This window comes from Homo sapiens, chromosome 2 (assembly GCF_000001405.40).
Source record: "Homo sapiens chromosome 2, GRCh38.p14 Primary Assembly".
NCBI lineage: Eukaryota > Metazoa > Chordata > Mammalia > Primates > Hominidae > Homo > Homo sapiens.
In genome coordinates, this window is record NC_000002.12 from 127,576,024 (window position 1) to 127,597,459 (window position 21,436).

The 21,436-nt window shown below is 53.3% G+C and overlaps 1 protein-coding gene across 10 annotated transcripts in view, besides 2 other annotated features; it reads left to right on the plus strand.

Annotated features, from left to right (window-relative positions):
- The window catches only part of MYO7B (myosin VIIB), a 102,044-nt gene that overhangs the window by 40,341 nt on the left and 40,267 nt on the right, over nucleotides 1-21,436 (plus strand). For all 10 annotated transcript variants that reach the window (XR_001738748.2, XM_047444437.1, XM_011511218.3 and 7 more), the window contains 12 exons: nucleotides 572-685; nucleotides 2,110-2,263; nucleotides 4,723-4,799; nucleotides 5,868-5,987; nucleotides 6,281-6,423; nucleotides 8,099-8,309; nucleotides 8,755-8,890; nucleotides 12,369-12,532; nucleotides 14,069-14,206; nucleotides 16,771-16,923; nucleotides 17,523-17,621; nucleotides 20,439-20,533. Coding sequence is in view for 9 of the 10 variants with exons in the window: in XM_047444437.1 (XP_047300393.1) it covers nucleotides 572-685; nucleotides 2,110-2,263; nucleotides 4,723-4,799; nucleotides 5,868-5,987; nucleotides 6,281-6,423; nucleotides 8,099-8,309; nucleotides 8,755-8,890; nucleotides 12,369-12,532; nucleotides 14,069-14,206; nucleotides 16,771-16,923; nucleotides 17,523-17,621; nucleotides 20,439-20,533 (1,604 nt within the window). In the remaining variant the exon portion in view is untranslated. The remainder of the gene's footprint in view (nucleotides 1-571; nucleotides 686-2,109; nucleotides 2,264-4,722; nucleotides 4,800-5,867; nucleotides 5,988-6,280; nucleotides 6,424-8,098; nucleotides 8,310-8,754; nucleotides 8,891-12,368; nucleotides 12,533-14,068; nucleotides 14,207-16,770; nucleotides 16,924-17,522; nucleotides 17,622-20,438; nucleotides 20,534-21,436) is intronic.
- Nucleotides 1,581-2,134: an enhancer, noted in NCBI's record as "H3K4me1 hESC enhancer chr2:128335179-128335732 (GRCh37/hg19 assembly coordinates)". NCBI's record gives its function as "activates a minimal SCP1, AML or CMV promoter by ChIP-STARR-seq in naive H9 embryonic stem cells {active_cell/tissue: H9 hESC(naive)}" and the evidence as "EXISTENCE:reporter gene assay evidence [ECO:0000049][PMID:30033119]".
- Nucleotides 2,183-2,232: an enhancer, noted in NCBI's record as "active region_16496". NCBI's record gives its function as "activates an Ori minimal core promoter by ATAC-STARR-seq in GM12878 lymphoblastoid cells {active_cell/tissue: GM12878}" and the evidence as "EXISTENCE:reporter gene assay evidence [ECO:0000049][PMID:35858748]".

Below are 21,436 nucleotides of genomic sequence, written 5' to 3' on the forward strand. Positions count from 1 at the left end.
CCCCATCTCTACAAAAAATACAAAACTTAGCCGGACGTGGTGGTGTGTGCCTGTGATCTTAGCTACTTGGTAGGCTGAGGTGGGAGGATGGCTTGAATCCAGGACTTCGAGGCTACAGTGGGCTGAGATTGCACCACTGCACTCTAGCTTGGGTGACAGAGCAAGACCTTCTCTCGGAAAAAAAAAAAATACTGAAGGCCTAGGGAGCCCCGTGGCTGTCAGATCTCTCGTGGGCCACTAAGTGCCTGTGAAGACTGTGGGACTATAAGAGAGCCCCGACTCTGTGCCATCACTCCTGGCCTGGAGACTTTGGGCACAGCAGTGTCAGGGCTTCGAGGAGCAGTCAAGATGCAGGGAAATGGAGTTCTCAGGGCAGGGATGAGACAGCCGCGGAGGCCCGGGACAGGGACAGCAACCAAGCCAGGCTGGCCCTGGGTCAGTGCCAGAGCTGCTCCTGGCTGAGAGATGTGGAGCGGAGGCCAGGGCTGGGCTGGGCAGAGGCAGTCTGAGGCCCTGAGGCCTCAGGGGAATGGCTCATGAATCTGTCTGGAATGCCCTCCCTCCCTCCCAGGCTCCCGAGGAGCGGAACTACCATATCTTCTACTGCATGCTCATGGGGGTGAGTGCTGAGGACAAGCAGCTGCTGAGCCTGGGCACGCCCTCCGAGTACCACTACCTGACCATGGTGAGCTGCCCACCTGCCGCCTCCCAGTAGCCAGTGGAAGGGAGGAAAAAGAGCTTGTGCCGCTCCACCCTCCGCGACAGCTGCAGAGAAGCCCAACGCTGGCCGGGCCCCTGAGGCGGGGCTGGTTCCCTTTGCCTCTCCTCGCCAGCCCCTCTCTGCTGGGAATCACCTTGCCCGCGTGCCTCCCGCTTCCCCGTCACATGTACCCCATGCCCCAGGCTGGACCCGGGGCCTCCCCGCAGACCTCATCTTCCTTTGGTCCCCACTGGATGACAGGCTCCCGGTGCCCAGTGGGCCACAGGGAGTTGCCCACATGCCTCCTGCTCCTGATTTCACTCCAATTGTCTGTCCTTGCAGGCCCCCTAAAACGTAAGCCCCGGGCCCCAGGAAAGCAAAGCCCTTCCTGTGCTCCCAGCTGCACCCGCCACCTAGGACAGGGCGGCACCACAGCCATCGCTCATTAGCTGAGGCTCCCTGGCCCTCAGGAGAACTGCGCCTCCTGGTTTATTGACCACAGAGTGGACCCAGAGCATTCTGCCTCTGGGATCTCTCCCATGCAACCCTCTCTCCTGGGTCCACTGCTCCAAGGCCTTCACCAGCCCCTGCCTAGACTTCATGGGTCCCCCATCGCCAGTCTTGACCTCTAATCTGTCATCTACCCTGCAGCCAAAGCACTCTTCCTGTAGGAAGGTTTGCACTGTAGTGTCATGCTTTGGATGGCACTGCTGCAGTGACCCCTGCGGCTTGTAGGGTAGAAGTCCAAACTCCTCCATGTGGTTTCCAGGTCCCTCCAAGATCTGCCCCTCTGCCGACCTCTCCCTTCTCAACACCCACCCCAGCCTCCCCGCAGCCCTGTCCCTGCCTCCCCACCTCGTGGCCTTGCTCCCATCATCCTCTGCCTAAACTGCCCTCTGTCCTCAGAGGCGGTGGGGCCAGCTCTGCACCTCCTCCAAGAAGCCTTTCTCCACCTCTCGATAGGGCTGGCCCCGGCCCCTGTGGTCTGGGCACCTGTAACAGGCAAATGGCCATGGCACGGTCACTGGCTCCCTGCCTGCCCCCCTGGATGCGCAGCACAGGGCCTGGCCCATGGCGAGCCATGGAAAGTGTTTCTTAAAGGAACAAACCCACAGTGTCCCCCAGAGAGACAAGGCAAGCTCGAGTAGGGACGAACGACAAATAGAGGATCAGAGAAGAAGTGTGACTTGGCCAAGGTCACACAGTGGCCAAATGCTGGTGCTGGTGGCAAGGCCTGATCATGCTGTGGCTACTGTGTCATGATTCTGCCTCTGAAAAGAGTTTTTGAGCGTGGACCCTACGTGGTCCACCCATTGCCTATGAAGTGCAGTGTCTCAGCCTTGCTGGTCCCAGGAGGGAGGTGGTGGGGCAGGGGATGGCCCCATTCACTGAGGCACCCTGTCCCTCAGGGGAACTGCACTTCCTGTGAGGGGCTCAACGACGCCAAGGACTACGCCCACATCCGCTCGGCCATGAAGATCCTCCAGTTCTCCGACTCCGAGAGCTGGGACGTCATCAAGCTGCTGGCTGCCATTCTCCACCTGGGGAATGTGGGGTTCATGGGTAATGCCGGTTCTGCCCCAACTGCACCCTTGGGGAGGGAGAGGGAAGGGGACAGGAGCAGGAAGGCATCTCTAGGGGTTCTCACAGGAAGGATCCTGTGGTCCAACCCAGGCCTGGAAAAATATATCTAAAAAATTCAGCTGTGATTTTGGAGGCCTCGTGAGGCAAAGGGGAAAATGTCAAAGCTTAAGGCTCTCCACAGGTGGAGACCGGCCAATCATCCCCCACTTTTAGCTGGGACCCAAAAGGGCTTCCCCCTTAAGGTTCAGGTAAGCCAGAGTAAACAAATCCACGTGTGAACTTGCAAACCAGGTTGTGAGCAAGGGGTGGTCTGGGGATTAAGTTGTCCTGACCTGTGAACACCCCCAAGCACCTAACGGCAGTTATTGACAGTCCTCGCTGGAAAAAAGCACCAGCAAGTTAGATTACAAATGATTCCTGTGAGTAGTTTTTCAAACACAACATCCAGCATGAAGCCAGGAAGAAATAGGAACAAGGAAATGAGATACCATGAACAAGAACCGGCAGAAATAATAAACAGTAGAAATCGATCCACAAAGATTTCAAAGTTGGAATTATTAGACACAGACTAGAGAAGTTCTGCTTATTTTGCTCAAGAAAAGAAGCAGCCAAGCTTGAAAATTTAGACAGCGAATGGGAAACTTTAAAGACATTATAGATTTATAAACAAACCACATAGAAATTCCATTCTAAAATTAAAAAAAAAAATAACCAAAAGGAAGAACCCAATGGATGGTTTAAGGGATTCTGTGCCTGTCTAGGAGATGGAATGTGTGAGCTGGAGGGAAAGTCAGGAGAAACTGAGTACAGCATGGAGAGAGGAATGGCGGGAGATGTCAGAGAGAAGGTGGAGACTGGGAGGACACCGTGGCAGAGGGAGCACACCTTTCATTGGAGTCCTAAAGGAAAGGAGAGAGAAAGGGGCAGAGGCAATATTTGAAGAGATAGGGCTGGTTCCAGAACTAAGGAGAGACCATTCTCAAAGCAATGGGAAGGGATAGACTTTTCATAAACTGTTCTAGAGCAATGGGGTGTCCATATAGAAAACAAAAGCTTGGGCCACCATCTCACGCCATGTGAGAATATTGCTTCCAGGCAAGCTGCAGCTGGGCTGATCTGTCGTCTATCAGCCAGACTGCACACTTCGGCCAGGGAAAGGTGGGTGCTAACCAGAGGTGGGCACCGGGGCCTGGGACAGCATCAGAAACATGATGCTGAGGAAGTGAAGCAGGCACAAGAGAATGCAGACAGATCCACTAACATAACATTTGTTTGTTTGTTTGTTTGTTTGTTTTTGAGACAGGGTCTTGCTTTGTTGTCCAGGCTGGAGTGCAGTGGTGGGATCTCGACTCACTGCAAACTCCACCTCCCAGGTTCAAGCGATTCTCCCACCTCAGCCTCCTGAGTAGCTGGGATTACAGGGGTCTGCCACCACAGCCTGGCTAATTTTGTATTTTTAGTAAAGATGGGGTTTCACCATATTGGTCAGGCTGGTCTCGAACTCCCAACCTCAGGTGATCCTTCTGCTTCAGCCTCCCAAAGTGCTGGGATTACAGACACAAGCCACTGCGCCTGGCCCACTAACATAACATTTAAAAGCCGGCACATTAAATGCTGTTTAGGGACTCTATGTAGGGAATAAAAAGCTAGGAAGTTAGAAGTCGGGAGGGTGCTTACCTCCGGAGGAGAGGGACACAGTCTCAGCCCGCAAGGACCTCGGAGGGCTGTGGGTGCTGGCAGATCCTAGATTTGGCTTTAGCGTGGTTACGTGGTGCTGACTTTATTCTTTACAACACAGCTTTGTGTTTTATGCACTTCTTTATCTGTATATTTTATCTCCAATTTTTTTCAGTTTAAAAAAGAAAAAAAGCAAAAACAAAGACACCCAAAGGTCCCGTCCCCCACCAGCCTGGCACGTCCTAAGCTGGACGTTGGTTGAAGAGGAGGAACTGGAAGCTGGGAGGCCAGTCAGGAGACGGTTGCAATAGAGCCAGGCCTGGCTTACAGCTGGAGCTCCATTAGTGCTTTGCTTCCTGTGACTGAATAAATAACGAAATGTCCGGGTTTCCACACCCAGCAGCATGGACTGAGGGGCCTGATGGCTCATCTCTCCAGTGCCAGTGTCTGCTGTGTTTCCCAAGTCAGACTTCTCCCTCCAAATAAGCCCACCTTTCTTTAAACTTCCCTTCGACCCAGGGCCCTGGTCTCCTCAAGAGGAAGTGGTCTGCCACGTTCATCAACAGCTAAGGTGTGAATGACCCATGGTCATGGGGCCGTTGGCTCCCTCAAAGAGAGGACACTGGGAGAGACCGTGGCTTACGCCAGGGCAGCTGTCCTCCTGAGTGGATCTGGGGCTGCCAAGGGCCCGGGCCAGTCGGGACCTTGCTCCCATCGCTCCAGGCTGCTTTCCAACTCAGCATTCCTGCTTCTCTCTCTAGCTTCGGTCTTCGAGAACCTGGACGCCTCAGACGTGATGGAGACGCCCGCCTTTCCCACCGTGATGAAGTTACTGGAGGTAGGGGTGCTGTGCCCACAGCTTCCATTTTGGTGGGGGGCCTCAGAGGCCTGGGCTGACAGACCCCTGACACCTGATTCTTATAACCCTACCCAGGCCCCCACCCCTTTCCCAGGGCCTATGCTCAAACCCCTCCCTTCTGTATACTGCAGGTGCCTGAGGGTGGGCGCAGAGTGGGGCAGTGCCAAACAGAGCGGCGGAATGGCCAGTTTGGCTTTAATGAATGTTTCCTCCCTTTCCCTCCATTTCCTCCTGCTTGTCAGTGGCCCTGTTTCAGTATCCTCGCCCTCCACCCTGTCAGGTCCCTAGGCTCCCCACTTGGACCCCAACCCACCCATCAGACTAGCCCTGCCCTGTGCCCTCACCCCGCAGGGCTTCTCCGGGGCTTGCACTATTCTGGGAGAGTGGAATGTGCCAGTGAGTCTGGGGCCCATCCCATTAGCCTTCCCGGTTGTTCCCCAGTCCAAATGCAGCCTTGGCTTAAAGGAAGGGCTGCAGGCCCTGAGTGAGGGGCTACCTCTGCAATGGGGACATGGCAGCACCCCACGTCACCCCCATTGACAGTTCTGGTGGAAAATTAATAGAATCAGGAGCAAGAAATAAATACATAAAGCAAGCAATCACATTAGGTACCTTTTGCTATTAACATTCTTCTTTTGGTTCGAGGGTACTCAGAAACTCTGGGTTTTGTCAGCTCCAGTGGAGGGCTGGCCCAGCACACTCTCTTGCTCCTTTAGACTCTCAGCCTTCAGGCGGGACTGATTTCAGTCAGGACATGCCTGAGGTCTGGCCTCAGATCCCTCCCTCACCCTCATTTTCCAAGGCCAGGCTGGGGGAGCCAGCCCCTTTCTCAGCCCCCAGGAGACCCACTGAGGGCTTGACCCACCGAGCTGGAGAATCCTTCCCTAACAGCTCCCAGGGCCCTGGCCCTGGCCTCGGGCAGCGCCCACCCTCCGGTGGGCATAGGTGCTTGGTCACGAGAGGGAACAAGACTTGGCAGAAGCAGGTCAGAGTGCTGGGCCAGGCCCTGCTCCACAGGTGCGACGCAGCCCCCACCTGCCTCCCCAGGTGCAGCACCAGGAGCTCCGGGACTGTCTGATCAAGCACACCATCCTCATCCGAGGGGAATTTGTCACCAGGTCCCTGAACATTGCCCAGGCTGCTGACCGGAGGGACGCCTTTGTCAAGGTACAGAGCTGAGAGAGCAGGGCTTACATGGCCATCTGTTGACCACGGCTCTGCTTCTTGCTGTGCCGGTGGAGGGCAGGATGGAGCAGAGGGCCCTGGGCAGGTCCCCACTCTGCCAGTCACCTGCCTGGTGACCATGGACTCCTCAGCCTCTTGGGCCCTGGTTTCTTGCCTTTGAAGGAGGGATAACATCCACAGTAGGTCCAAGACATTCGGCCTCTCCAGGTGAACTTGGAGGTAACCTCCGCCTGAGCCTCCAAGCCCAGGATTCTCCCACCCCCGTGTCTCTCCAGGGCATCTATGGGCACCTCTTCCTGTGGATTGTCAAGAAGATCAATGCCGCCATCTTCACACCACCAGCCCAGGACCCCAAAAATGTGCGGAGGGCCATCGGCCTCCTGGACATATTTGGCTTTGAAAATTTCGAGAACAATAGGTATGAAGATCTCAGATCCCAGCCCCACTGCTTCCAGAAAACAGAAGATAAGCAGCTCCTCTCGAAGGGGGCAAGTTGGAGGGGAGCCGTCACCCTGCACCCAGGCCTGGCGAGTCCCACCAGATCCGTGTGCTCTGCATGGGGTGGCTGCTGTCCCCTGCCATCTAGAGAAGGCTGCACAACTAAAAGCTGTCCCTGAGAGCCGGGCTAAGGCCCCGGCATTTGTCACCCTTCTTGGGCCACCTGCTGTCCTCATGAGCCAGAGTGGATTATCACACGAGGTCAGGGTTGAAACAGAAATCAATAACATGGATTCATCTGCATCTGGCTGGTTTATCATTTTAGGTAGTGGGGGAAGCTAGAAGCATTTGCAGACCATCCCTGATTTTTTAGTTTGTGGGGTAAGGCACAGCAGGACTCCTCTGACCGGGCATCCCAGTGTTCTGGCACCCCAGACTAGAAGCTGGAGAGCTGTAACCAGGAGGCAGGTCAGAAAATAGCTGCAAGCTATGACTGTGATGAAGGCTGGGGGTCGGATAGACAAAGGTGGTGAGGGGACCAGGCAACGGAGCCAGGCCAGGCCAGGTGATGCTCAGGGGCACTATCACCAGCAAGAGGAGTCCCATGACGACTGGTACAAGCAGGCTGACAACACTAGCTTTGCAATTTAGCTTACCTGAGCCAGCTCACTGAAAGGGCTTGATGGGACAGAGACCGGACCACTGGCTCCAGGAAGCAGAGCTCCTCTGGGCCCTGTCTGAGGAGCCAGGGGGCTAGCCTGACCTTGCATGCCCCTGCCCAAGGCCTGTCTGATCTGAGAGTGATTTAGAAGGGCCCCCCTTGGACAGCCAGGATTGTCAAGACACAAGCCATTCCACACGCAAGCACGCTGGGATCTCAGCCCTCCCAGGGCCAGCCGGGGGTGCAGGGCAGGTGCCTGCTCACTGCAGTCAGGTGGGAGAGGCAGGGCTGGCAGAACTTAGCCCAATGCACTCTCTAAGGCATAGAGAGCTCAAGTGTGATTCCGATTATTGGCGTCTGGCCCTGGGAGGGACAGGTATTGGAGACAGCATGGGCCAGACTTTGGCAACTGATGGGAACTGGAGAGGAGGGACAGAGACAGAAACTCCTCGGTTTCTGACTTGAGCCGGGGGTGGTAGGTGGAGGGGCCATTTCCCAAGGCAGGGAATGCAGGAGGAAGTGCAGGTTGGAGTTCTGGGAACAGGGGCAGTAGGGCGTATGCCTGGTTGATGCAGAGGGGCCCAGCAGTCAATGCTGGGTCTCTGGAAGCTTGTCTCAATACCAAGGCTCACGGGTAGGGCTGCTGGTGTGCACTCAGACCACAAGAATTGTTTCAGTGTCAGGTGGGCAGGCCTGGTAGAGGACCCGGCAGGGGGCTGTGAGAAGCTGAAGGCGAGGACTTGATGATATGCTGAGCCTCCTCGTTTCTTTGTCTTTTTGACGTGGGGTGGAGAAGGTGACAGTGATGGAGGCAGACAGAGGAGAGAGAGTGTGCAGGAATGAGTGTGCATCTCTGTGTACACGAGGTGTGCATCTGTGGGCATATCTGTATGCAGCTGTTTGCAGATGGCTGGTGATCCTATGGCTCCAGCCTGCTGCAGCGGGGACTCAGCTGGCCCCACTCCACCCCTGGGCAGTGACCTTGCCTCCACAGCTTCGAGCAGCTCTGCATCAACTTCGCCAACGAGCACCTGCAGCAGTTCTTTGTGCAGCACGTGTTCACCATGGAGCAAGAGGAGTACCGCTCGGAGAACATCTCCTGGGACTATATCCACTACACCGACAATCGGCCCACCCTGGACCTGCTGGCCCTCAAGCCCATGAGCATCATCTCCCTCCTGGACGAAGAAAGCCGCTTCCCGCAGGTGTGTGTTCGGGCCTGCCGACCTTCTGGTGGAGGCCCTGCTATGGGTCTCCTCTTGGAGGCTGGGAAACTCCATTTGGGTGGGCCACTTGTTCTGAGAGTCACTAAAACCTCTGCCAGGAATAAGCAGAAGAGCCTCAGTCTAACCAGACAGACCCTCCTCTCCAAGGCCCACTTCTCTGACTGCTGGGGTCCTCAGACAGTAGTTCAGAGGGTGGAGCAGAAGAGCTGGTGGTGGAGGGCGGCAGACCCGGCCTCTGCTCCCAGCTCAGCCCTCACTCCCTGCAACAAGTCACTGACCCCTGGGCATTAGTTTCCTGTCTGTACAAAGGCCCTCAATCATTCTGAGCCCAGATCTCTTTGCCTCCATGAGGAAGTCCCTGAGCCTCACCTCCCCATGGCTGGACTCTGGGACCTCAGCCCACAGGGTGTCTGGGTTCTTCCAGGGGACAGATCTCACCATGCTGCAAAAGCTGAACAGCGTCCATGCCAACAACAAGGCCTTCCTACAGCCCAAGAACATCCACGATGCCAGATTTGGCATTGCCCATTTTGCCGGCGAGGTGTACTACCAAGCAGAAGGTGGGTGCAGCTCTCCTCTCATGTCCCTTCCAAATCTGGACCGGGTTCCAGGGAGACCGTGGAAAGCAGGCTCAGAGGATGAGGCTATTTTGCAGCTCTAGCAATGGGGCAGAGGGATGAGTAGTATGGCTTCTACTGGAGAAAGAAAATGGAGTGGACCGGGCATGTTTTGTTTTGTTTCTGGTAATAACTCTGTTGAGACATAATTCACATACCATGTTATTTACCTATTTTAAGTGTACGACTTGACTGTAATATATTCAGAGTATATTAATGATTGCCACAATTTTAGAACTTTTTCGCCACCCCTAAAAGAAACCCCTCATGAGCAACCACTCCCATTTCCCCCCAGCCCTGGGCAACAATTAATTTCTGTCTCTATGGATTTGCCTATTCTGACTTTTTGCATAAATGGAACCATATAATACGTGGTCTTCTGTGGCTGGTTTCTTTCACTTAGCATCATGTTTTCAAGGTTCATCTATGTTGTAGTACGTGTCAGTGCTCCATGTCTTTTTATTGCAGAAAAACATTCCATTATCTGGAATGTTTATCTCGTCATCAGTTGGCGGACATTTGGGTTTTTTCCACTTTTTGCCTATTATGAATAACACAGCTATGAACACCCATGTACAAGTGTTTGTGTGGGCATATGTTTTCATTTCCCCTGGGTATCTACCTAGCAGCAGAATTGCTGTGTCATATGATAACTCTATGTTTAACTGTTTGAGGAACCACCAGACTGTTTTCCAAAGCGGCTGTATGATTTTACATTCCCACTAGCAATGTATGAGGACTCCAGTTCCTCCACATCCTTGCCTACACATGTGATTGTCTGTCTTTGTTATTATAGCTACCCTAGTGGGTTTGAAGTCTCAATGTGATTTGCATCTGCATCCCCCGATGGCTAATGATGTTGATCGCCTTTTCATATGCTTCTTGGCCATTTGCACGTCTTCTTTGGAGGGATGTCTATTTAAATGCTCTGCCTGTGTTTTCACTGGGTTGTCTTTTCATTGTCGAGTTGTAAGACTTCTTTATATATTCTGGATACAAGTACCTAATAGGTGATTTTAAATTTTTTTCTCATTCTGTGGATTGTCTTTTCATCTGCTTGACGGTGTCCTTTGAGGCCCAAAAAGCTTTCATTTTGAAGAAGTCCAACTTATCTATTTTCCTTTCTTTGCTTGTGTCATATCTAAGAGTCCAGGGTCAAATACAAAGTCATGAAGATTTATCCCTATGTTTTCTTCTAAGATTTTTTTAGTGTTAGTTTTTACGTTAGGTCTTTGACCCATTTTGAGTTAATTTTGGGATATGTTGAGAGAGGATCGGTAATGGTTTTGACTGAAGAAGTGAAGGCCTGGGGTGGTCACCCTATGGGTGTGCCAAGAAAAACGAGGAAGGTGGCCGTGGGCTGCTGTGGTCAGGAAAGCAGGGCGGCCAGAGGGTCACTCTCTGCCCCTCATGTGGAGGAATGAGGAGGTGTTCTGGTCTATTTAACTGGAGACAGGAATCCAGGGATGATTCTTTTGAGTAGAGGGTGATCATTTAGTCAGAACAGGCTAGGCTTTGGGAGGCCAAGGGAGAAAGGGAAAGGTGCCGTGGCTCCTTCATAGTTCCTGCCACATCCTGGCTTTGGGCTCTTGGAAAAGGGAGAGGCTGGAGCCAGTCGGACCTGCAGGGTCCTGGGACGCAAAGAAGATACCGAGCCCATCCTCCATGGGGCAATTCAAGGCTGAGTTTTATTTTTTGAAATGATAGGAAACTTACATAATGCTAAGATTAAGGTCGATTCTTTCTAGACTTTCTGGTTGCAGAAATATTAATTAAAACTAAGCCTTCTTTTTATTTTGGATACCATGCTGTGCTGATGACCTCAGCTTTACTTACTCTGCCTGTTGGGAGACTGAACCCAGGAGTGTCTCAACCCTCCCCACCCTTAAAACATCCAGGGAGCTCCCTGCCCCTGGTGGGGAGCTCTGCCTGAGCCTCAGGGGTGCAAGGTGTCACCGAGTGTCCACCCCCTGCCCAGCACCCAGTGCAGCCCCCCTGGTGCTGCTCCCCTCACAGACACCTGCAGGAAGAGGTGGGAAACAGACTCCCTTCCCTCTCCCACTCTTGACTCTTCCTCCCCAGATCCACAGCAGGCTGTGCAGGTGTGCACAGAGCATACCACTAAAAGCTGGAGTGACTTAAGGGGAGGAAAGTGAAAGAGGAAAGTCAGGGTCGTGCCCTTGGGAGTTCGTCCTTAGAGACCAAGCAGTGCAGCCCCTGGCCTCATGGAGCCTGGCTTTGAGGAGCAGCTCATCTTCAGTGCCTTCTCAGTGTGGTTCTGTCCCTACTGCAGGGCTAGGCCATTCTTACTCATGGCCGGAGGGGAGACATGGGATCTTCTCACCCGCTGGAGCCATGCCTGTATTAGGCACTAGGGCAGCAGTAACAAACACCACAGACTGAGTGGCTTAAACAACAGAAATGATTGTCTCAGAGTTCTAGAGGCTGGAAGTCCAAGATCAAGGTGCTGGCAGGTTTGATCCCTTCTGAGGCCTCTCTCCTTTGTATGCAGATGGCCGTCTTCTCTCTGTGTCCTCATATGGCCTTCCTTCTCTCTGTGTGTGTCTGTGTCCTCATCTCCCCTTCTTTCTTTCTTTCTTTTTTTTTTTTTTTTTTGAGACAGAGTCTCACTGTGTCACCCAAGCTGGAGTGCAATAGTGTGATCTCAGCTCACTGCAACCTCTGCCTCCGGGCTTCAAGCGATTCTCCTGCCTCAGGCTCCTGAGTAGCTGGGATTACAGGCACATGCCACCATGCCTGGCTAACTTTTGTATTTTTAGTAGAGACAGGGTTTCACCATGTTGGTCAGGCTGGTCTCGAACTCCTGACCTTGTGATCCACCTGCCTCAGCCTCCCAAAGTGCTGGGATTACAGGTGTGAGCCACCACACCCAGCCTCATCTCCCCTTCTTATAATGACACTAGTTACACTGGATTAGGGCCCATCCTAATGACCTCATTTTACTTTAATCCCCTCCTTAAAGGCCCTATGTCCACACACAGTCATGTTCTGATGTATAGGGTGTTAGGACACCAACATATGAATTTTAGGGGACACATTTTAGCCCATGACACTGCCCCTCTCCTATTTCTGGAGGCTGCATCTGTTTTTAGTCTGAAGGAGCCTTAGCCCTAGTAGGATCTGCCCAGAGGCAGGAGGATGTGGCAGCTTATATAAGGGGGTTTGGAGTGGGAATGGGAATTAGGGGGGGTCCAGAGTTTAGACAGGAGAAGTGACTTTGTGCTGGGTAGATGGTGGGGGCCATGCCTGGGTAGAGGGGTGGAGAGCATGGCCGTAGTGGGGCCATTGTAGGAGGGGGCTCCTCCACGCATCCTGTATTCCCCCACACTGCCCTCTTCTTCCCCATGGGTGGGCAGTGATGGCTAAGCTGGGATGCTGGGTGGGCCCTGTGTCTCCACAGGCTTCCTGGAGAAGAACCGAGACGTGCTGAGCACAGATATCCTCACCCTGGTTTACTCCTCCAAAAACAAGTTTCTGAGGGAGATATTCAACTTGGAGTTAGCAGAGACCAAGCTGGGCCATGGGACCATCCGCCAGGCAAAGGCAGGAAACCATCTCTTCAAGGTGGGCTCCCAGGCACCCTCCTGGGTCTGTCACCCCTGATGGCTACAGGGCCAGACAGACATGTACAGGAAAGACTGTTTTACTCACCTCTGGGTCCACAGCATGCAGTTGGCACTTGGGAATCCTGCAATGGATGGATGGATGGGTGAATGGATGGGTGGGTGGATAGATGGGTGAGTGGGTGGATGGGTAGTGGGTGGGTGGATGGGTGAGTGGATGGATGGGTGGTGGGTGGGTGGATGGATGGGTGGGTGGATGGATGGGTGGGTGAGTGGATGGGTGGATGGGTGTGTGAGGGTGGATGGGTAAATGGATGTGTGGTTGGTTGGTTGGATGGATGGATGGATGAGTGGATGGATGGGTGAGTGGATGGACGGGTGAATGGGTGGTTGGGTGGATAGATGGGTGAGTGGGTGGATGGGTAGTGGATGGGTGGATGGATGGGTGAGTGAGTGGATGGGTGGTGGGTGGGTGGATGGATGGGTGGGTGAGTGGATGGGTGGATGGGTATGTAAGTGGATGGGTGAATGGGTGTGTCGATGGTTGGGTGGATGGGTGAGTGGGTGAATGGATAGATGGATGGGTGGGTGGCTGTGTGGATGGGTGAGTGGATGGACGGGTGGGTGGGTGGATGGGTGAATGGATGGGTGGATGGGTGAGTGGGTGGATGGATAGATGGACGGGCAGGTGGCTGTGTGGGTGGGTGAGTGGATGGATGGGTGGGTGGATGGGTGGGTGGGTGGATGGATAGATGGATGGGTGGGTGGCTGTGTGGATGGGTGAGTGGATGGATGGATGGGTGGGTGGAATGGTGAATGAATGGGTGCATGGGTGGGTGCATGTGGCAGCTTATATAAGGGGGTTTGGAGTGGGAATGGGAATCTGGGGGGTCCAGAGTTTAGATAGGAGAAGTGACTTTGTGCTGGGTAGATGGTGGGGGCCACGCCTGGGTAGAGGGGTGGAGAGCATGGCCTTAGTGGGGCCATGGGTGGATGGGTGAGTGGGTGGATGGGTGGTGAGTAGGTGGATGGATGGGTGAGTGGGTGGATGGGTGGTGCGTGGGTGGATGGATGAGTGGGTGCATGGGTGAATGGATGGGTGAATGGGTGGGTGGATGGGTGGGTGGGTGGATGGGTGAGAGGGTGGATGGATAGATGGATGGGCGGGTGGCTATGTGGGTTGGTGAGTGGATGGAAGGATGGATGGGTGGGTGGGTGGGTGAATGGATGGACGCATGGGTGGGTGGGTGGATGGGTGCTGGGTAGGTGGAAGGATGGGTGAGTGGGTGGATGGGTGGTGGGCGGGTGGATGGGTGGGTGGGTGGATGGATAGGTGTGTGAGTGGATGGGTGAAGGGGTGGGTGGATGGGTGAGTGGGTGGATGGATACATGGATGGGTGGGTGGGTGGATTCTTGAATAGGTAGATGCACCACCCCACCTGTGGGGCCTTGGCCGCAACCCTTGCTGGCCTACAGGGTCAGCTGTCCCAGGACATGGCTCCTGAGACCCACTTGTGCTCTGTGCTTCCATTCACAGTCTGCAGACTCAAATAAACGGCCCTCCACCTTAGGAAGCCAGTTCAAACAGTCTCTGGACCAGCTGATGAAAATCCTGACCAACTGCCAGCCTTACTTCATCCGCTGCATCAAACCTAATGAGTACAAGAAGCCGCTGGTAATGACAGGAGGCTGGGGCACAGCAAAGGAGGGAGGAGGAGGAGGCTGATGGCCTCTAGGGTTGTGGTCACTCCCTCTGCCAGGGCCTGGCTAGCGTTAGAGCTGTTACTGCCCCTACCTTACAGATAAGTACACTGGGGTAAGGTGACCAGACTAGGTCATGTGAAGGTCAGTGACCTGCAGAGCTTTGGGTTGCTGAGACCTCAGTTCCCTTAGCTCCGCCATGCATCTTCTGTGCGTTCTTGGCCTGGCTCTTTGCTGCTGTGAGCCTCAGTTTTCCCTTCTGTTAAGTCAGACTTGCTCCTGCCTGCAGGAATGCACTGAGGGTTGGACATGAGGTTTGCAGTACATGTCCCATATGTAAACCACACTCAACAAAGGCAGAAATCAGTAATAGGACTTTAGAGGCTGACACCACTCCTTTCACCAGCCCTGCAGACAGTCAGCTTTACCTGCTGTGAGACGGTGAGGGGGTGAGAGCCCACACTCCCTGCCCACAACGGAGTCCCTGCTCCATTGGGTGGGGAGTCCCACCCAGAGGCCGCATATGCAGGGATTCCCCAAACTAGGAGACATCAGCTGAAACAATATAAAATGGTTTTATCCCCATAAGGGAATAAAAATATTACATGAAATTAAATGCTTTTTGGAAAGAATAAAACTATGTGAAATCGAGTTTGATCTGGGTGCAGTAGCTCACGCTTGTAATCCCAGCACTTTGGGAGGCTGAGGCGGGAGGATTGCTTGAGGCAAGCCTGGGCAACATAGTAAGACCTTATCTCTGCAAAAAAATTTAAAAGTATAAAAATTAGCTAGGTATGGTGGTATGTGCCTGTAGTCTCAGCTACTCAGGAGGCTGAGGGAGGAGGATCACTTGAGCCCAGGAGGTCAAGGCTGCAGTGAACTATGATCACACCACTGCACTTCAGCCTGGGTGACAGAGCAAGACCTGTCTCTAAAAAAATAAAATGAGGCTTGCCTTATGAAATCTAGGTTGCATCTTCCTTGAAGGCAAAATAGGCAGATGTGAGATAACCTATCTTGTTCCTTAACTGCTGGGAGAAGTAGCTGGGCTCCCAGAGACCCTTGGCTCGTTCAGACCCTGCCTACCTTGGGAGCTGGGAGTTGCAGGACAGGCAGGCAGGCCTGAGGCTGAAGCTCGGGGGTTAAGAGTGCCTCTGGCTGGGATATCTCTCATTGGTGGCTGCTCAGGGTTCAAACCCAGGCTCAGCCCCTTAGAAGCAAAACCCTATGCCTCAGCACCTCATCTTTAAGTTGGAGCCAATCACCCCCACCAGGTAGGAATGTTGTAAAGATTCAGTGAGAAACACCAGGCCCATAGGAAATCGTCAGTGAAGCGCAGCTAAACACTTACCCGAGGCTAAGCTCAGTGTGGCCTGGACCCCACCAGCAGTTGGCGCTGTGACCCTGCAGGTGGGGTAACAGTGCCTGCTGGTGGGTTTGCCACATCAGAGGGCGTTCCCCAGGGTCCCTCAGAGACTCCTGGCTTGTAGGTGGAGAGGGGCTCTCTAGAATCCAAGCCATGGCAGAGTCTTGGAACCCCTGCTGAAGCCTGACACCCCAGGGAAGGACATCATGCCATTTCTCTGCCAGTCACACTCGCCTCAAAGCAAAAGACGGCTCAGCTCCCTGGGGCCAAAGGCCCTCCACTCCTCCGCCCCAGCCACTCCAGGTCTCACTCTGACCTCCATCTCCAGGGAGGGAGAGACTAAGTTGATTAGGATATTTTCTGCCTCTGAGTAGATTTATTTTTTCATTTAACTATTGTGAGGGAGGCACCATGAAACTGCAAGTGCCTGCGGGGCAGCTTTCCACCCCGACCTATGTAGGCAAGGGGCGCTTAAAAACATTTTAAACTGGGCCAGGCGCGGTGGCTCAGGCCTGTAATCCCAGCACTCTGGGACGCCAAGGCGGGCGGATCATTTGAGCTCAGGAGTTGGAGACCAGCCTGGCCAACATGGTGAAACTCCGTCTTTAACTAAAAATACAAAACTTACCCGGGCGTGGTGCTACACGCCTGTAATCCCAGCTACTCGGGAGGCTGAGGCAGGAGAATCGCTTGCACCCAGGAGGCAGAGGTTGCAGTGAGCAGAGATCGTGCCACTGCACTCCAGCCTGAGCGACAGAACGAGACTCCATCTCAAAAAAATAAATAAATAAAATTTAAAAAATTTTTTTAAAAAAAGCATTTTAAACTGGGCATGTGCAGAGGACGTTTACATTCACAGCGCTTCGAGTAGTTGACAGTGATGGGAGTGCTGTGTTTCTGTGGGTGCCACAGTTTCCATGCTATCGACTTTTATCTCCTTGACAACATTACGGGTTTTTCAACTACTTGCACTACTCTCTTCAAAATGTAGCCTTACTGAAGTCGCATTTGTTTAGTTCTTCCATCTCTGGAGGACAGTGGGGGTGGGCGGGGCGGGGGGCTGGACACACTGACCTCTGGCTGTGGGCCCGTGCCCGGTGGTGGGGTGCCGGGAAGGGGGGTGGCTGGAAAGTGGGGCTTGCGCTGGGTCAGCGCCCGGTGTCCGCCCACAGCTGTTCGACCGGGAGCTGTGCCTGCGGCAGCTGCGATACTCGGGCATGATGGAGACCGTGCACATCCGCAAGTCGGGCTTCCCCATCCGCTACACGTTCGAGGAGTTCTCGCAGAGGTTCGGCGTGTTGCTGCCCAACGCCATGCGGATGCAGGTCAGCGCCCCTCGGGGACGGTCACCTCTGGCCATCCGCGGCCTTCCCCTCGGCCTTGGCACCTCCAGCCCCCAGTACCGAGGGGGTCTCCCGCTGCCCTCCCCGGCCCCAGCCTTGCGATGAGCCCTGTCCTTCCTCCCTCTCTCCTCCTCCCACCCTACCCTCTCCCTCTCCCAGCGCCGCGGAAGTGAGGGGGCTTTCCCTGGGGTCTGGGAGAGCTGGCGGCCGCAGCGGTTCCTTCTGGAACATGTCTGTAGTTGTACAGCAGACACGTTCTCTCCTACCGCGTCAGGGAGCCGAGGTGTGGCTAGAAAGCTACTGGGGCCCGAGGTTCTTCCTGTCCTGTCTGGAACCCTCAGCCATCCTGAGGCTGGGCCTGGCCTGGGCCGAGTCCCACAGCACATGGAGGCCCCGGGCCCCGAGTTCCCTCCTCACCCCAACCCCTATTCGAGGTTCCCGTTGTGCCTGTGCCTGGGCGGGGGTGGGCGGCAGCCCCTGATGGGGGAGCCTGTGGGAGAAGGAGGGAGACACCACCCCCAGAGAGCCGCCGAGGGGTCTCTGCCCCACCTCCCACCGATACCCCCGTTTGGTCTTGGCAGCTGCAAGGCAAGCTCCGCCAGATGACCCTGGGCATCACTGACGTGTGGCTGCGGACAGACAAAGACTGGAAAGCGGGGAAGACAAAAATTTTCCTGAGGGTGAGACCCCGAGGAACCAGCCAGCTGTCGGCCTCCTGCAGCATGTGGGCTTGTCAGCTCTTGCACCAGGCCCGGGGTCCATGGTCCATGTGCCCTGAGCCAATGACACTGGGCAGCAGCTCAAAGTGTGGTCCCCACCCTCAGGGCACCCCTGGATGTAGAACATCACGCTAGGGGACAATGAGGTGGTGGTGAGGGTACTGGGGAGGGCCAGCCCAGCCTGTGGAAGCCCAGGAGGCTTCTCAGAGGGGTACCTAGGGCAAGGCCTGAGGGTGCAGAGGAGGCGCCTTCCAGCCACAGGGCAGCACCCAGGAGCTCAGGGCGGTCTGCCGGTGTCCTGAGACCTGGCCTCCATCATGCTGGGAGCCACATCCTGCCATGCAGGCTTCCCTACACTGGGGAGGCCCAGCCTCTGCAGAGCCCGGAGGGCTACTGCTTTAGTGGAAGGGTGCTGTGTGTCAACTCTCCACAAAGCGACTTGTCCTTAGCGGGGCTTGTGCGAGCCTCACCACCACAACCTGCCTCCCCCAAAATGCACAGGGAGCTGAAGTCACACAAAGGAAGCTTCGGGGCCCTCCAGAAGTGCCATTTGGGTCAGAGCCACTGAGGAGGGAACCTTCCTGTCCCCTAGTCTCATAAGCCTCAGCGGGCCAGCACAGTGAGAGGGAAGAGGAATAACTGGGAGCAGAGCTGGGAGGATGCTTTGCCAGCTTGCCTGAGCTCCCACCCATCCCTGCTGCCCCTTCCTCTTCCCCCATAGTGCCTGCCCACCTGCCCTTATGTGTCCTCAGAGGGACGTCCTGGCCCCAGCCCTCGAGTCGGTCTGTCTGTCCATTTGGCTGTGCAGTAGTCAGGCTGTTCTGGGTCTCAGAGGCTAAGATGCGCGGGAAGAAGCAGAGTGGCTTCCAATTTAGTGGGGGAGGCAAGGCCAGCAGAGGGACCATCTCAGTGCACTGTGGGTTTGTCATAAATGGCTCTTATTATTTTGAGGCATGTTCCTTCAATACCTAGTTTATTGAGAGTTTTTTTTAACATAAAGCAATGTTGAATTTCATCAAAGGCCTTTTCTGCATCTATTGAGATAATCATGTGGTTTTTGTCTTTAGATTTGTTTATGTGGTGAATTACGTGTATTGATTTGCATATGTTGAACCAGTCTTGCATCCTGGGGATGAAGCCAACTTGATCGTAGTGGATAAGCTTTTTGATGTGCTGCTGTATTCAGTTTGCCAGTATTTTATTCAGAATTTTTGCATCGATGTTCATCAGGAATATTGGCCTGAAGTTTTCTTCTTTTGTTGTATCTATGCCAGGTTTTGGTATCAGGATGCTGCTGGCCTCATAGAATGAGTCAGGGAGGAGTCCCTGCTTTTCAATTGTTTGGAATAGTTTCAAAAAAAAGGGTATCAACTCCTCTTTGTACTTCTGGTAGAATTCAGCTGTAAATCCATCTGGTCCTGGGATTTTTTTCATTGGTAGGCTATTATTGCCTTAATTTCAGAACTTGTTACTGATCTATTCAGGGATTCACCTTTTTCCTGGTTAATCTTGGGAGGGTGTATGTGTCCAGGAATTCATCCATTTCTTCTACATTTTCTAGTTTATTTGCATAGAGGTTTTTATACTATTCTCTGATGGTTGTCTGTATTTCTGTGGGCTCAGTAGTGATATCCCCTTTATCATTTTTTATTGTGTCTATTGGATTCTTCTCTCTTTTCTTCTTTTTTAGTCTAGGTAGTGGTCTATCTATTTTATTAATTTTTTCAAAAAATCAGCTCCTGGATTCATTGATTTTTTGAAGAGTTTTTCGTATCTCTATCTCCTTCAGTTCTGCTCTGATCTTGGTTTCTTCTTGTCTTCTGCTAATTTTGAAGTTTGTTTGCTCTTGATTCTCTAGTTATTTTAGTTGTGATGTCAGGGCGTCAATTTGAGATCTTTCTAGCTTTCTGATAAGGGCATTTAGTGCTATAACTTTCCCTCTTAACACTGCTTTAGCTGTGTCCCAGAGCTTCTGGTATGTTGTCTCTTTGTTCTAACTGGTTTCAAAGAACTTCTTGATTTCTGCCTTAATCTCATTCTTTACCCAAGAGTCATTCAGGAGCAGGTTGTTCAATTTCTATGTAGTCGTGTGGTTTTGAGTGAGTTTCTTAATCCTGAGTTCTAAGTTGATTGCACTGTAGTCTGAGAGACTGTTATGTTTTCCGTTCTTTTGCATTTGCTGAGGGTGTTTTACTTCCAATTATGTGATCAATTTTAGAGTAAGTGCATGTGGTGCCGAGAAGAATGTATACTCTGTTGTTTTGGGGTGGAGAGTTCTGTAGATATCTATCAGGTCCACTTGATCCAGAGCTGAGTTCTAAATATCTTTGTTAATTTTCTGTCTCGATGATCTGTCTAATATTGACAGTGAGGTGTTAAAGTCTCCCACTATTATTGAGGGTAACATTTTTATATTGAAACAAGCATGGGGCTTTTACACGGTTGGATGCAAATGTCACATGAATTTTGGGAAATAAAACACAACTTCAGGAAAATTTTGTGCCCCCTCTTGAATTCTTCAGAGTAGAAATAAAGGATGCCAGATTGAATTAGCAAGAAGAAAGAGCTAATGTGGGAAGTTCTTGGATTGGGGTGGGAGGTATAGTTGCAGCTCCTGTCTCTGAGCAACATCAAGGTCACTTTGAGGGCCCCCTTCTCTGGCCTGCCCTCCTGGGAGAAGCCTGAGAGATGCTACCTTCGGGAGACAGAGCCCTGGCCCCAGGCAGGGGCTGTAGGGTGAGGGTGAGCAGCCCAGTGACGGCGTCTCTCCTGTTCCAGGATCATCAGGACACTCTGCTGGAGGTACAGAGAAGCCAGGTGCTAGACAGAGCGGCGCTCAGCATCCAGAAAGTCCTTCGGGGCTACAGATACAGGTGCCGGCCCCACCCCAAGGCCCACCCAGCCTACTCCTGCCCACAGTGTCCCCACACAGGCCTGCAGCCCACAAACCAGGATCACATGTTCCCGCTGGGCCCTCCCTGGGGTTACTGAGATCTTCCAATGCCTTCCAACCAGGGACACTGCAGCCTATGTTGGCCAGAGAATTCAGATACATTATTGGAATGTTTGGAAAAAACAAAAAAACACTCCATATGCAAGAGATGGGAGCCGAATGAAGGGGCAGCCCCGCTCTCAACCAGGGTTTGACGTTCCACTTCCATTATATCAAAGCGTATGGGTTTGGGTTGTGAGGCAATTTGCTTTTGGACAGGAAAGAATCCATGGCTTGCCTGGGTTCCCTGGTCAGTAAGAGGGTACCGCTAGAGTTGTAATCCAGGATCAGTGGATCAGCAGCGCTGCTGCCTTGCCCCACCCTCACCTGGGTTCCTGAGCCACCATAGCAAGGGCTGGAAACCCAGGCATGAGAAAGTAGAAGACAGCCAGCCCCGGGAATAGAGAATGAGGGGACAGAGAGCAGGGCAGGGAGCAGGGAGCTAGGGCCCACAGCTAGAGAGGCAGCTGTGCTGCTGGGAAGCCGGAGGCCATCTCAGGGCCAGACCCTGGTGCTGCTGATCTCAGGACAACAGGCCGCATCTGACCAAACAGGCCCACGTGGTCAGAGGCGAGGCAGGCTGGCCACCCTGACTCCCAACATTTTAAATTAAACTTTTTGTTTTGAGATTACTGTAGATTTACATGCAGTTGTAAGAAACAATACAGAGATATTGCCATAATCTTCACCCATTTCCCCCAGTGGAACGTCTTACCACCAGGATTCCTTCTGCGGCCTTGTTTAGCCACGCCCCCTCCCTCACACCTGCCCCCAGTGCTGCTTA